At 48.6% G+C, this 15,496-nt stretch overlaps 1 pseudogene, besides 6 other annotated features; it reads left to right on the top strand.

Annotated features, from left to right (window-relative positions):
- Nucleotides 6,040–6,099: a silencer, noted in NCBI's record as "silent region_8566". NCBI's record gives its function as "represses an Ori minimal core promoter by ATAC-STARR-seq in GM12878 lymphoblastoid cells {active_cell/tissue: GM12878}" and the evidence as "EXISTENCE:reporter gene assay evidence [ECO:0000049][PMID:35858748]".
- Nucleotides 6,250–6,359: a silencer, noted in NCBI's record as "silent region_8565". NCBI's record gives its function as "represses an Ori minimal core promoter by ATAC-STARR-seq in GM12878 lymphoblastoid cells {active_cell/tissue: GM12878}" and the evidence as "EXISTENCE:reporter gene assay evidence [ECO:0000049][PMID:35858748]".
- Nucleotides 6,390–6,459: a silencer, noted in NCBI's record as "silent region_8564". NCBI's record gives its function as "represses an Ori minimal core promoter by ATAC-STARR-seq in GM12878 lymphoblastoid cells {active_cell/tissue: GM12878}" and the evidence as "EXISTENCE:reporter gene assay evidence [ECO:0000049][PMID:35858748]".
- WHSC1L2P (Wolf-Hirschhorn syndrome candidate 1-like 2, pseudogene) lies at nucleotides 6,627–8,749 on the top strand (annotated as a pseudogene).
- Nucleotides 7,899–8,503: an enhancer, noted in NCBI's record as "NANOG-H3K4me1 hESC enhancer chr17:41795928-41796532 (GRCh37/hg19 assembly coordinates)". NCBI's record gives its function as "activates a minimal SCP1, AML or CMV promoter by ChIP-STARR-seq in naive H9 embryonic stem cells {active_cell/tissue: H9 hESC(naive)}" and the evidence as "EXISTENCE:reporter gene assay evidence [ECO:0000049][PMID:30033119]".
- Nucleotides 12,987–13,056: a silencer, noted in NCBI's record as "silent region_8563". NCBI's record gives its function as "represses an Ori minimal core promoter by ATAC-STARR-seq in GM12878 lymphoblastoid cells {active_cell/tissue: GM12878}" and the evidence as "EXISTENCE:reporter gene assay evidence [ECO:0000049][PMID:35858748]".
- Nucleotides 13,117–13,316: a silencer, noted in NCBI's record as "silent region_8562". NCBI's record gives its function as "represses an Ori minimal core promoter by ATAC-STARR-seq in GM12878 lymphoblastoid cells {active_cell/tissue: GM12878}" and the evidence as "EXISTENCE:reporter gene assay evidence [ECO:0000049][PMID:35858748]".

The raw sequence follows: 15,496 nt of genomic DNA, 5'->3' as shown, positions 1-15,496 counted from the left end.
GTGGCTGCCCAGGGACTGCTAGATGATTAGAGCTCAATCATTCCTTCCCAACAGAGGGCCATTTTTTCTTGAGAAGTGCAGGTTTGCTGGATTAACAAGCTACCCTGGCTTCCCAGGGGTTAATGCTGCTCCCTCAGAGGTTGCCTGTCTGAGGGTGCTGACCCCACCGTGCTCCTGTTGGCCCAAGGAGTCTCATGCTCAGCTGGACATTTATGCCTCTGCTTTCCTGGCCTCACTAGGTGGGTGGGGGCTGCTTCTTTGCAATCTGGTGTCTCCCCTGCTGGGTGACCTTGGGAAGGTCTCTTAACCCCTCTGAGCCTTAGTATTCCCCTGCAAAATAGAAAGGATGGTGCCTACCTCAGAAGGATATTATGAGGATTAAATAGGTCTCCACGCACTCTCAGAACACCCTAAGTTTTTCATTCAAAGTATGTATATTAATCATCGTTTAATGTTTGTCTCTAGCTGGACTAGGAGAACCACTAGGGCCAGGCCTGTGTCCATGTCCCAGAATCTTAACACAGGGCCTGGCACCTCGTAGTTGCTCATAGACCCCTTGTTGAATAAATGAATAAGGATGGGCAGGGCAAGGAATGGAGTCTGTTGTCGATGAGTCTTAATTCCTTTCCTTTACTTCCCTAAGATACTTCCAGAACAACCTCCGCAGATGTATATTCTTTTGTTAGCAGTCATGCATGTCAGCAACTTCCTTCACCCAACTTCCTTCAAACAAGGGTCCCCACCACACACTCACTGGCCTTCTCAGTGGTCTTCTGGTGGGAACAGATGTGGCTTCATTAGTGGCCGGGCAGAAGCATGGATATCAGAGACTTAAGGGGTACCAATCCAGCAGGTTAAGATGGCACAGCTATCTGTGGCTGTGTAACAAGCCACCCCAAAGTTGGTGACATAAAACAACAACCATTTTATTAGGCTCACAGATTCAGAGGTTTAAGAATTTGGCCAGGGCCCAACAGGGTGGCCTGTCTCTGCTCTCCAATGTCTAGGGCCAGGGTTGTGAAGACTCAAATGGCTAGAGGTGGCTGGAAAGGCTGAGGGCTGAAATCACCTGGGGGCTTCTTCCCTCACATGCCTGGTGCCTGGACTGAGACATCTCAGTGGGGACTGTCAACCAGAGTGCCTTCACATGGCCCCTCTGTGTAGTTTGGGCTTCCTCACAGCATGGTAGCCTTGGGATAGTTGAACTTTTTACCTGGAGGCTCAGGACTCCAAAGGCAAGTGTTCCATTAACAAAGGCAGAAGCTGATGGCCTGAGATGACTTAGGCTTGGAAGTCATACAGCATCACCTCTCTGTACTCAATTAATTGAAGCAGTCATAACCCTGCGAATATTCAAAGAAAAGAGAGAAATAGACCCCACAGCTCAATGGGAAGATCATCAAAGAATTTGTGGCCATATTTTAAGACTATGACACATACCCTGCTGGTTGCAGTTGCATGTGCTAGAACCTGAGACAGGGCCTGGCTCAGGAGGAGGGCTCAGGAGGGGCTTACCAAGTCCCAGGCTCTTGGCCCAATGCTGTGTGGCCTTAGGCACACTCACTCATGCTGTGTGGCCTTAGGCAAGTCTTTTCCACCTTCTTGACCTCCGTTTCCCCATGTGACATTCAGAGAATAAAATGCTGCAAGATCAACCTCTGATATGGTCAGGCTTTGTGTCCCCACCCAAGTCTCATCTTGAATTGTAATTTCCAGGTGTTGAGGGAGAGAGCTGCTGGGAGGTGACTGGATCATGAGGGTGGTTCCCCCATGCTGTTCTGGTGATAGTGAGTGAGTTCTCAGGAGATCTGACGGTTTTATAAGATGCTCTTCCCCCTTCACTTCCTACACACTCTCTCTCACCTGCCACCATGTAAGACATGCCTTTTCCCTTCCGCCATGATTGTAAGTTTCCTGAGGCTTCCCCAGCCATGTGGAACTATGAGTCAATTAAACCTCTTTTCTTTATAAATTACCCAGTCTCAGGTATTTCTTTATAGCAGTGTGAATATGGACAAATGTAACTCCTTTCCTTGTTGCTGGAGACCCTCACCATCATGCACATACACAGCTCACCAGGGAGACAGAGATCCCAATAGGGTGGGGAGCAGGCACCAACAGAATCCTCCCAACCAGTTGGGAAAATAGGAGTGCAAAGGAGACTGTGTCCACTGTTTATCTGGAATGCTGAGTGGGTGGAGTCCTGTTCTATCATGGCACCCAGGGTCAATCAGAACTTCCCTGGGTCCCTATAGTATGAGGGGCCAGCTAGTTTTCCAACACTTCCAAGGAAGGCATGGAAGGTGCTGGGCAGGGCCTGGTGGGCTGGGAGGGCCTCAGCTGCAGAGTCAGGAGGACACAGAGTGTGTGGGCTAATTACTACAGAAAAAAAAGATGTGGATTTAGCAGACACCAACAAAATGGGGTGACCATGCCCAAGAGGTTAGTGAAGACAGATACTGATGACCATGGCTCGGCTCTCCCCCTCCTCCAGCTCCCCCTCCTATGGCACAGAAGCCACTAGAACTAAGTAGATGACCTGACAAGGGAAGTTGAGGCAACTGGGAATAGATTGAATTTAAGTCTGATATGACCAACTTCAGCTGACATTGATTATTAAATAAACTTAAATGTTTTTGGCAGTTGGACAGAATGGGGAGTCTATAGGAGAAACAGAAAAATGAAGCTGTGTTTTTAGAGGCCCCAAGATTTGTAGCTAATTCATTTCTTCTTTCTGCTTAGCAAGGGACTGGCTGAGATCTCAGGCCTTTCCAGCTGTGATATCCAGTGTGGCTCTGATCCCCAGGCTTTATGACTCTGCTGCTGCTACCACTGCATCCCAGGGGACTGCCAAAGTGTGTGCAGGTCACGTCCCAGTGGGGCTCTGCCTGACCCAGCACTGAAAAATGGTTTACCCCTGAGTCATTCAGACAATTGATATCGTTGAGAAACCACGGTGTGTAGGCCCTAGGCTGGGCACTGTGCCTGCTTCTGGGGACAGTCAATTGAATAAGACACTGGCCTCATCTTCAACATGTTTACAATCCTGTGGCAGCAAACAATTAGAAGCCACTGGTTCTAGGACCTTAATTAGGAATTTCTCCTGATTACTGCTTTCGTTAAAAAGACATGAGCACATCTCCAGCTAATCAGTCAACAAATATTTACTGAGCACCTACTATGTTCCAGGCTCTGTTTTAGGTACTTGGGGTACATCAGTGGAACAAATAAACAGTAGAAATATAAATAAATGAGCCTTGAAGGCCTGCTTTTATCTCTCTGCCCATCTCGGTCCTGGGGAAATAAATGTGGGTGTTTCAGGCCGAACATCCAAATGATCAACTTTTTTTTGAGACAGGGTCTCCTTCTGTCTCAGGGTCTCCTCCTTCACCAGGCTGAAGTGCAGTGGTGCAAACACAGCTCACTGCATCCTCAACCTCCTGGACTCAAGCAATCCTAGCACCTCAGCCTCCTCGTGTAGATGGGACCACAGGCATGTGCCACCACACCAGGCTAATTTTTAAATTTTTTGTTAAGAAAAGGTCTCACCATGTTGTCCATGCTGGTCTCAAACTCCTGGGCTCAAGTGATTTTCCCGCCTCAGCCTCCCAAAGCACTGAGATTAGAGGCATAAGCCACCGCAACAGGCCATCATCAACTTAATTCTAAGGCATTTCCCACCCCCACCCTCATTCCCTGAACTCCCATCCTCCTTTGATCCTCAGTCAAGGCCAACTTCGAAAACTCCTTGGTAATCAGCTGGGAGCTTGCAGGGCCCAGACCTTCAGCAGCTTGTGGGAATGTCCCATGAGGAACTTTTTTTTTGTCAAAAGAATGCCAGGAGTTTAATTACTGTGTGGCCCATGGAGGTGATTTCCATTTATCAGCCAGAACCCAGACAGATCCTAGGAAGGCCCATCATGTGAGGCTGTGGCCGCCGTGGCCTGCTCTCTCCAGCAAAGGATAACCCTGGGGCCTGTGCCCTGGGCAGGGGCAGCAGGAATGCTTTGAATGCTTCCCCTGCATGTGGCCTTGGGTTTTACCAATGGCTACAGCGGGTGGTTTAATTAATAAATGTCCACTGCTTGTCATTTATCATTAGCAAAACAGGAGGGGTTGGAGGTGGGGGCAGCCAAGAGGGCAGGGAAGCTTTCTCCAAACAAGGTGCACCGATAAATTAAAGCTTTATCCATCAGTCTCACAGGCTGGCTGCTGTTGTACAGCCCCACGTTACTTTCCTCTGGTTCAGAGGCCAATCTCATGTTTCTGAAGGGCTTTGCAGCAGCTGTAGGGGGTTTCATCTATGACTGTGTTTCCCTTGTCAAATCTCAGCAAAGGACTGTGTTGCATGGTATGGAGGAGAGAGAGCAGCATGTGCCCAGGGGACTGGTTCCCATCGGGGTCTCAAACTGAAACTCTATGGTGGATCCAGCCTGAGGCTAGATTTTTGTTTGGCTACAATGGCATTTGACAAATTGGAAATTTTTACATAAAAATTCAAGTTTCTGGCTTCTATTGAAAAAGCAAGGCGAGGCAAAACCAAACCCTCTTTTTCAGTATGGCAACAAGCAGCTGATGGCCAGCTTAGGCAGGCAGGGCAGCCATGTGAGGTTGTGTGAGTTGTGCACTGCACAAAAGCACCTAGCAGAAGGTGCAAATGGAGGCTGAATCCAGGCCAGGCTGTCTTTCCAGCAGAAGCCCTGTAGGCAGGATGCAGGCCTTCCACTTCCCCACCACCGCTGACAATCCCTGCTACTTTACTCACCTACTCCATTCATTTACGTTACCTATCTGAGCTTGGTAAGCACTTGGTGTTTTCATTCCTAGTATACAATCAGGGCACTATTTCGTCTTCTCTATGTGAGAAATGCCTCTTCAACCTTCAAGGCTCAGCTCAACTCATAGAAGCTCCCTGGTGGTACCCTCCTCTGTATTTTCTCAACAGCAACCCACACTGCTATTATAGCACTCGGCACACCCTTGTGCTCTAATTTGTTAGCGGATCCTGTTTCCTGCAGACTTTGAGCCCCTTGAAGATAGATCCTACCATTTCTACTTTTCCTCTGCCTGGCACATAATGGGCACTAAATCAGTAGGGCTGAATGAATGGGTTTATGGCCAAGTGTGCCCCAGGCAAGGGAGGCCTCCAAGAGGCTGCCTAAAATCCTAAGCCAGGAAGGTCAGGAAAGGGTGATAAAAGGTTTTAACTTTGGGGTTTTGAAAGACCCTAGACTCCTAGGTTTCTTCTCTTGGACACTCTATGGGGCACTTAAAATCCTGAGTCATGCTGATTTTGGGATTTCCTCTGACCAGAAAGCTGAGTGTTTAAGACTTTTCACATTCGCTTGTTTTGTTGCAAGGAGCTAGTAAGAGCTCAGCCTGGCCTCTCCCAAAACCACTCATAAAGGAGCAGCAGACATGGTGCAGCCAACAGAGACTTCAGGGAACAAGGATGGCTGTGACTTGTGCAGAGCAATTCTGGGATCCTGGAACCTGAAATACATCTCCTCCCCAGAAATTTAGCCTGAAATTTCTTTAACCAAGATCAAAAGGTGAACCTTGCTTCTAATAATCACAGAGGACTGAATGTGTTCTGCGAAGGAGAGCCACACTGGTCTAAATTATTTCCAACTAACGTGTAAATGACTGATAGAGGTTTTTGGTTTTTTTGTTTTGTTTTTGTTGATTTTTTTTTTTTCCTAAATGCTAGTTTGGTGAGAAGGTAAAAAGAGTTATAAAAGTGCAACACCAAGGCGGGTGGATCGCGAGGTCAGGAGTTCGATACCAGCCTGGCCAACATGGTGAAACCCCATCTCTACTAAAAGTACAAAGAATTAGCTGGGCGTGGAGGCGCGCCCCCGTAATCCCAGCTCCTCGGAGGCTGAAGCAGGAGAATCGCTTGAACCCGGGAGGCGGAGGTTGCAGCGAGCCGAGATCGCGCCATTGCACTCCAGCCTGGGTGACAGAGCGAGACTCCGTCTCAAAAAAAAAAAAAAAAAAAAAAAAAAAAAAAAAAGCAACAAGCCCTCTCGCCTAGTCTCTCCTTTGTCGTCCAGACCCTCGCGGCCGCGGGCGTTCGTGGTTCGTCCCCTCCGCCCCCTCCGTCCCCTCCGCCCTTTCCGCCGCGCTGACTCGCCGCTTCCTCCTGGGCTCCATCGCCCCAAACCCGGGACTGCACTTCCCGGCAGACGCCGCGGCCAATGAGGGAGGGGCTGAGGATTTGGCGGCGGCGGCGCCCCGAGAGTCGGGGTGACGGGGCTTTGTGCGCTGAGGCGGAGGCTGCCAGCACGGAGGCGGAGGCCCAGGGGCTGTGCACAGGTCACCGCGGAGAGACGTGCGATTTCCCAGCCGAGCGCCGAGGACCCTGCTGCCCAGGCCAGGCTGCCAGCCGTAGGCTCCTCTCTGGCGGCAGCGGGGGCGCGGCGACACCCGTCTCTCGGCCTCCCCTTCCCACCCCACCTCCGGAGCCTTCCTCCTGCCGCAGCACGCCTGGCCTGGTCCGGCTGTGGCCCTCCTCGATCTCCGTGTCCCTCCTGTGATCGCATTGAGACGGCCGGGCGGTTAGAACGGGACAAACTGAAGGCCCGATGAGAGAAAGGGAAAGTTAAGAATGCTGGAGCAGAACAATGGATTTCTCTTTCTCTTTCATGCAAGGGATCACGGGAAACACAGTTCAACAACCACCTCAACTCACTGACTCCGCCAGCATCCGTCAGGAGGATGCCTTTGATAACAAAATTGACATTGCTGAAGATGGTGGCCAGACACCATACGAAGCTACCTTGCAGCAAAGCTTTCAATACTCACCTACAACAGATCTTCCTCCACTCACAAATGGCTACCTGCCATCAATCAGCATGTATGAAATTCAAACCAAATACCAGTCGCATAATCAATATCCTAATGGGTCAGCCAATGACTTTGGCGCAGCTAGAAACTTTAGCCCCACTGACTATTACCATTCAGAAATTCTAAACAGAAGACCACATTAAATTCTAGAAAACCCTTCCCCTCCACAGCCACCACTTCGGTACCACAAACTGTGATTCCAAAGAAGAGTGGCTCACCTGAAGTTAAACTAAAAATAACCAAAACTATCCAGAATGGCAGGGAATTGTTCAAGTCTTCCCTTTGTGGAGACCTTTTAAATGAAGTACAGGCAAGTGAGCACACGAAGTCAAAGCATGAAAGCAGAAAAGAAAAGAGGAAAAAACCCAAAAAGCATGACTCATCAAGATCTGAAGAGCGCAAGTCACACAAAATCCCCAAATTAGAACCAGAGGAACAAAATAGACCAAATGAGAGGGTTCACACCATATCAGAAAAACCAAGGGAAGATCCAGTACTAAAAGAGGAAGCCCCAGTTCAGCCAATACTATCTTCTGTTCCAACAACAGAAGTGTCCACTGGTGTTAAGTTTCAAGTTGGTGATCTTGTGTGGTCCAAGGTGGGAACCTATCCGTGCTGGCCTTGTATGGATTGAAGTGATCCCCAGCTGGAGGTTCATACCAAAATTAACACAGGAGGTGCCCGAAAATATCATGTCCAGTGTTTTAGCAAACAGCCAGAGAGGGTGTGGGTTCATGAAAAATGGGTACAGGAGTATAAAGGTCATAAGCGGTATGAAGAATTACTGGCTGAGGCAACCAAACAAGCCAGCAATCACTCTGAGAAACAAAAGATTTGGAAACCCTGACCTCAGAGAGAACATGCTCAATGGGATTTTGGCATTGCCCATGCAGAGAAAGCATTGAAAATGACTTGAGAAGAAAGAATAGAACAGTATACTTTTATCTATATTGATTAACAGCCTGAAGAGGGTTTATCCCAAGCAAAAAAGAATGTTGGGGCCGGGCGCGGTGGCTCACGTCTGTAATCCCAGCACTTTGGGAGGCCCAGGCGGGCGGATCACAAGGTCAGGAGATTGAGACCATCCTGGCTAACACGGTGAAACCCCGTCTCTACTAAAAAAATACAAAAAAATTAGCCGGGCATGGTGGTGGGCGCCTGTAATCCCAGGTACTTGGGAGGCTGAGGCAGGAGAATGGCATGAACCGGAGATCGCACCACTGCATTCCAGCCTGGGCGACAGAGCGAGACTCCATCTAAAAAAAAAAAAAAAAAGAATGTTGTCTCCAAAGCCGAAGTTAAAAAAACCTGATGACCAAGATCTGTGCTTTAAACTCAGCCAGAACAGATCAATGCAGGGGAGGTGGCCTCCTCACTCTCAAGTACTGACATTTGGAGACACAGCCCGAGGCAGCACACAAGCGCGGACGAGGAAGAGCCACCTCCTGTTAAAATAGCCTGGAAAACTGTGGCAGCAAGGAAATCCTACCAGCTTCCATTACAATGCACAAAGGGAGCCTGGATTTGCAGAAGTGTAACATGTCTCCAGCTGTGAAAATTGAAGAAGTGTTTGCTCTTCAGAATGCTACAGAGGATGGGAAATTAATTTGTTTATTCAACAAAGGGAATTGGTAACAAAACAGAAATAAGTGTCAGGGGGCAAGACAGGCTTATAATTTCTAAACCAAACCAGAGAAATGAAAAGCCAATGCAGAATATATCATCTCTTGAAGCAACATCTGGTTCTACAGGCTCAGTAGAAAAGAAGCAACAGAGAAGATCAATTAGAACTTGTTCTGAATCAGAGAAGTCCACTGAGGTTGTGCCAAAGAAGAAGATAAAAAAGGAGCAGGTTGAAATAGTTCCTCAGGCTACAGTGAAGACTGGATTACAGAAAGGGTCGGCGGACTGGGGAGTGCAGGGCTCTGTCAGATTCAGTGACAGCTCCATCTCCACAGCGATTGAGGAAACTGTAGACTGAGATTCCTGTACAATTTCATCCCAGAAAATCCAGACTTGTAGTCTCCATGCAAGATTTCTTTTTCTGTCGGCAGCTTGATAAACAGTTTATTTGTTTTAGATTTTGATTTTGCCAGTCATCATTATTGGCATTTTCCTGCCTGGTTTCTTCTTGAAGACTCTGAACGATTGCTTTAACATTCAAATGATTTTTTTTTTTTTCAGTTTGAGCTGGATGGGTACAGCTTAAATCATGGGTCCAGCCTAAAAACCACCATTTAACTTACACTGATCAGTTTCAACACGACATGGAATGGACTGTTTTTGGTTTTTTGTTTTTATTTTTTATTTATTTGTGGTGTTTTTTTGTTTGAGATGGAGTCTCGCTCTGTCACCCAGGCTGGAGTGCAGTGGCCCAATCTCGGCTCACTGCAACCTCTGCCTCCCGGGTTCAAGTGATTCTCCTGCCTCAGCCTCCTGAGTAGCTGGAATTACAGGCATGTGCCACGCCCGGCTGATTTTTTTTTTTTTTTTTTTTTGTATTTTTAGTACAGACTGGGTTTCACCATGTTGGTCTGGATGGTCTTGATCTCCTGACCTTGTGATCCGCCCACCTCAGCCTCCCAAAGTGCTGGGATTACAGGCATAAGCCACCGCGCCTGGCCAAGTTTTTTGTTTTTAAATAAAGCATCATTAATGCACCTCTGACAAAAATAAATAAATAAATAAAGCAGCAAATTCTGAAAGGGAGCCCCGCAATGGGGAAAGAGGTGCCCAAAGGGAAGTGTGGAGTTTAGGAAAGACCAAAGTTAGCTCAGGATTTCCCCTGGAGCCTGGGAGCGGGGGAATTGTATTGAGATAAAGGAGCACCAGGCCCATCTGTCTGGAGCTGACACGGAGACCTCTGAGTAATGATTTCAAGGAGGAAGAGCAGGCAAGACCCACTGAGGGTACCAGAAACAGCAAAATTGGGTGGGTAGATACACCGTCTACCTGGACTGGAGTAGAAAAAGGGAGGATAAAGAAGACAGTATTCACCCCACACACATTTGCTGTGGACTTACTATGTGCAGGGGGCCATGCCCAGTACTGAGTTCAGTCTCCTGTTGGAAAAGTTTCATCAGAGCCTGACGGAGAGCAGATTTCCACAAGCCCATCAATAACACTTAATGTGCAGTGCATTTTGGGCTCAAACCCTGAAGGTGCCTCGAAAAGGCTTGTAAGCTGGGGGTACAGTCCCCTGCCTGAGGAAGGATACCACAGGCTGGGCATAGCTCCATTGGCCCTTCTCAGGGTGGCTTTCCAGACCCCATTATTTTAAATTGCAACGCCTAGCACTTCTGATCCCTTGTCCTATTTTTCTGAGCATCACTTACCCCTTTCTGACATATGTTTTATTTATCTATGTGTTTATTGTCTGTTTTCCCCAGTAGAATGCTTCTCCATAAGAGCAAGGGTTCTTTTTTTTTTTTTTTTTTCAAGGCAGAGTCTTGCTCTGTTGCCCAGGCTGGAGTGAAGTGGTGCGATCTCAGCTCACTGCCAGCTCCGCCTCCCAGGTTCAGTGTCCCGAGTAGCTGGGACTACAGGCGCCCACCACCACACCCGGCTAATTTTTTGTTTTCGTGTTTTTAGTAGAGATGGGTTTTCACCATGTTAGCTAGGATGGTCTCTATCTCCTGACCTCATGATCCGCCCACCTCGGCCTCCCAAAGTGCTGAGAATACTAGGTGTGAGCCACCACGCCCGGCCAGGTTCCTCTAAATCAACTTAATTGAGGGATCATTTACATATAATAAACTGTATCCATTTACCATTTAAAGTGTATAATTCTGAACTGTGGGATGTATGCGGATATATATACCTGTACAGCCACCACCACTACCACGATACTGAACATTTTCCACTACCCCCAAAGTTGCAGTCATCCCCATTTCTCCCATTTCCTACCCCACACTCACCCCAGGCAGCCACGGATCTGCTTCTTGTCACCATAGGCTAGAATTAACAGCAGGGATTTTTATCTGTTTTATTTCTCTGTCCCCAACACATCAGATGATGCCTGGCATATAATTGGCACTCAATACATCCTTGGTGAAAGACTGAATTAATGGATGGGAAATCAGATGATTAAGATCTGTCTTCGGGGCCGGGCGTGGTGGCTCACGCCTATAATCCCAGCACTTTGGGAGGCCGAGACAGACAGATCACCTAAGGTCGGGAGTTCAAGACCAGCCTGACCAACACAGAGAAACCCCGTCTCTACTAAAAATACAAAAGTAGCCAGGCATGGTGGCGCATGCCTGTAATCCCAGTTACTCGGGAGGCTGAGGCAGGAGAATCGCTTGAACCCAAGAGGCAGAGGCTGTGGTGAGCCAAGATCGTGCCATTGCACTCCAGCCTGGGCAACAAGAGCAAAATTCTGTCTCAAAAAAAAAAAAAAGATCTGTCTTCGGGCAGCTCAGAGCCCAGTGGAAGAGACAGGTGAAAACAATAGTTACAACCTCCACAGATCCTCTGCAGGAAGTGAGAGAGTGAGGATGCACATGATGGAACTGCAGAGTTTGAGTTCTTTGGCATCAGAGGGATTTGAGCTGAAGGACCAGCTCCACTTCTCACTACTTTACAATCTCACGTGAGCCCCTACATTCCTCTGAGTCTCTTTTCTCTTTTGTAAATCTTGTATAAGAGCAGTACCCACCAGAGAGTGCTGTTAAAGGATGTAATGGGATAACGCTTGCCAAAGGCATAGCACAGCACCTGGCACACAATCCATGCTCAACAAACCTTACCTACTGATATTCTTGGCCATTCGAAGAACATGGGGCTGGGCATGGTGGCTCATGCCTGTAATGCCAGCACTTTGGGAGGCCGAAGCGGGCAGATCTCCTGAGGTCAGGAGTTTGAGATAGCCTGGCCAACATGGTGAAATCCTATCTCTTCTAAAAATACAAAAATTAGCTAGGCGTGGTGGCAAGCACCTGTAATCCCAGCCATTTGGGAGGCTGAGGCAGGAGAATCGCTTGAACCAGGGAGGCAGAGATTGCAGTGAGCCCAGATCGCACCATTGCACTCCATCCTGGACTACATGAGCGAAACTCCATCTCAAAAAAAAAAAAAGGAAAAAAAAAAAAAGAACATGGTTGAAGACCAGCTCTATAATATGAGTAAGATCAGACTCTTGATTTTGTGAAGGCAAAGCCAGGGAAGAGAGGCAGAAGCTGAAGTCAAGACCAGCTAGTTTATGCTGCAGTAACAAATGAGTCCATGGTCCCAGGGGCCTCGAGCACTGAGGTGAAGTTCATTTCTCTCACACTTATGTGTGCCCTGCTCCACTCCTATGCCAGGCTGGCAGTGTGGTTTCTGGCTGGGGCACTGCCATCCTTGTAACAGAGGGAAGAGAGAACAAGGTGAGCCATGCTTGGCTTTGAAAGTTTCTGCTCCCCAGTAACTCACATGTCCCACTTCACTGGCCAGCACCAGTCATGTGGCGAAGCCTGAGTGAGGCCAATGGATCAAGGAAGTGTAATCCTTCTCCAGAGAGGAAGAGGAAATATTTGTGAGCAATGGTACGGTGTACCACAGGCATGCAAGCAATTAATTACAGGATGTGAGAAGTACCATCTACCTCTGCACGGTGCTAGGAAGGAAAAGGGGCTGACTCTGCTTGGAAGGCAGATGTCAAGCAGGGAAAGGGGAAGTCTGGGAAGGCTTCATGGAAGAGGTGATGTGTATCTGGGTCTTAAAGAAGGAATAAGAGCTCACTAGGCAGAAAGAAACAAGGGAACATTTAGGCAGGATGAAAAGGCAATTGTCAAGGATAAAATTGTGAAAGTCTGATGTGCTCTCCGTGGTTGGAGCATCTGGGTACAGGGGCTGGCCCTGGACAGGTGGACTGGACCAAGAGCGGTCTTTGACCATCACACTAAGGATTCCGACTTTTCCGGAAGAGTGGTGGACAGGCACTGAGGTTTCTGAACGAGGAGATATGACTTTGAGCCCTGGAGTGGCTGGATGGAGGGATGTTTTCATCCCAAGTGCTGAAAAGAAACCAAATAAAAGGGGACCCTAAATCAGGGGAAAATCCCTGGGAAGAGATGAAGTTTTTCTGCACGAAAACCCAGATAGGAACGAGAACTCAGATAGGAACGGTCGCCCGGGGGAGCTGGGCCCCTTCCTGTTGCAGAGAGCAGGCACAGCTCGGTGGCAAACGCCGATCAGGGCACGGCGAGGCCGAGCCGAGCCCCGCGGACCTGCCTGACCCCGCGCCCGCCCCCCGCGCCGGGAGAGAGGCCCCTCCTGGCCCCTGGAGACCTGGCGTGGCGGATATTTGTCTGTGATACGATTGTAATTTGGGTCCCTTTTGGCCGCAGTAAATTGTCCTGTTTGCACAGCGCCAGGCTGAAATAGCCCGGCGCGCGCGCCCCAGGAAATGAGCTCAGGGCCGACGGCCGCGGAGAGCGCGCTGCAGCCGCCCTGGCGCTCCAGGCGCCCCGGCCAGCCCGCGTGGGGGCGGAGCTGGTATTTTTTCATTTGACCGACTTAAACAGGTAATTCGAATTATGAGCATGAAAAAGTGCCCAAGGCGCTGTCTGCCACCGAAAGCTCAGAGAAAAGTGGGAGCGCTGGCATGGGGACTGGGGAGGCTGCAGCATCTTTCTTCAAGCGCAGCGGTGGGAGGTAGGGGGAGGAACCGAGGCTCGGTCTGAGATGTGCTGCCTCTGCCACCTCCCACGAGGCAATAAGGAAAGTCAAAACCCCTGGTGACAAATTGCGATTTTACAAAAATGATTTCATACTAGAAGGACTCCACAGCTATGGAAAAGAACATTTGAAGCACAGTTACATCCGCCTTATCGTGCCTTACAGGTAACACTACAACTATCTACACATACATGGATTTGTCAGCATTGCCATTGATCACAGCATATAGACAATCCTGTGCTCCTTTTTTCACTTGCTTTTATTTTCTGAACACTCTTTCTTGTTGCTACACAATTTTCAATTTACCATTTTTACTGGCAGGGTAACATTTCATTGGATGGATGTATCATAATTTATAGGACCATCCCTCTATGTTGGCTGGGGAGGGTGTCTCCAGTTTTTCCCTATCATAAATAACACCCCAATAAATGTCTTTGTAGATACAAAATGGTTCTTTCTTCCTTGTGAATTATTTTCTTAGGATTAATTCCCAGGAGGAAGATTATTGGGCCAAAGGCTATGAACATCTTTATGTCACTTGATATTATTGCCAAATTGCTTTCCAAAAGGGTTGTCTCTGATAATTTATGGTGTAAAAGAAGGAACTAACCAAATGTGTACACCGTCCTTTCCTATACACACACAAAGGGCGTCACCTTGGGGCCCAGAGGAACAGGTGCTTGGGGTAGCTCCGAGTGGGGGCGGGATAGGGGTGCAGGGGAAAGGCCATTCAGAGGTGCGGGTGCTGGGATCCACCTCACCCTGGTGTCGGTACTTTCTGGAAGGACAGGCTTCCCGGATTTTTTGACTCCCTCCCTTGTCCTCCCTTTTGCTTCCATCAGATGTTTAGACCTATCACTCCCAAGCCCCTACCTTACTGTCCGCCTCTCAGAGTCCTTCCTGCCAGGGCTGCCTGGGAACTGGCCCACCCTAGGCCCTGAAATAGCATGATTTGCTGAGCCAGCTTTTATACTAAATGGGAACTATTGGCACCTTTGGCTTCTTGTCATCTTTATGTTTTCCCGAGAGGTAGCACTAACCCCTCGATGAGGCTCAGGAGGGGAAGCTGGGGTGTGCCCCCAGGTGATACCCTGGGAGAGGCTGTCTTCCTTGCAGCTGCTCCTCAAGTCATTGCCAGGTTCGGCTCTGGTGGAAACTTCTGTATTTACAAAGATCAAGTCTGGGAGATGAGGCCAAAGACAAAACATCTTCTGTCCACACTCCTCACACTATTCAATTTGCGGATGTTGTTCCTCCCACAATTGTTTTGGTATCACCCCAGCTGACATCGTGGACTTTTTTTTTTTTTTTTTTTTTTTTTTTACTTTCCTGGCAACACTGTAGGAAGAAAGCACGTTCAGGGGACAATTCACCAGAGGGAAAACAGACTTGATTTCTCCTCCGCTGTAGCAACCCATGTGTTCTTGGGACAAATCTCTTAGGGAATATGGGTCCCAACTTTACTGACAAAATGAGGTTCTGGCTGGACCAGCCACATCATTGCTGTCCCTAGGACCCAAAAGCCCTTGGTGGAGTTTCTTTTTTTTTCTTTCTTTCTTTTTTTTTTTTTTGAGACCAAGTCTTTCACTGCCACCCAGGCTGGAGTGCAATGGCGCGATCTTGGCTCACTGCATCCTCTGCCTCCCGGTTCAAGTGATTCTCCTGCCTCAGCCTCGTGAGTAGCTGGGATTACAGGCACCTGCCACCATGCCCGGCTAATTTTTTGCATTTTTAATAGAGACGGGATTTCATTATGTTGGTCAGGCTGGTCTCAAACTCCTGACCTTGTGATTCACCAGCCTCGGCCTCCCAAAGTGCTGGGATTACAGGCGTGAGCCACCATGCCTGGCCCCAACTTGGTGGAGTTTCTTATGCTCCCAAGTTCTCCTCCCATGACTGCACCATGGAGATGTGGGACAGAAGGTGCCCTTGGTGGGAGGGACTCTGAGGGGTAGACAGTAAGGTGGGGGCTGAGCTGGGAGTGACA

Source organism: Homo sapiens, chromosome 17 (genome assembly GCF_000001405.40).
Source record: "Homo sapiens chromosome 17, GRCh38.p14 Primary Assembly".
Taxonomy (NCBI): Eukaryota; Metazoa; Chordata; class Mammalia; order Primates; family Hominidae; genus Homo; species Homo sapiens.
This window is presented reverse-complemented; position numbering and strand designations above follow the sequence as displayed.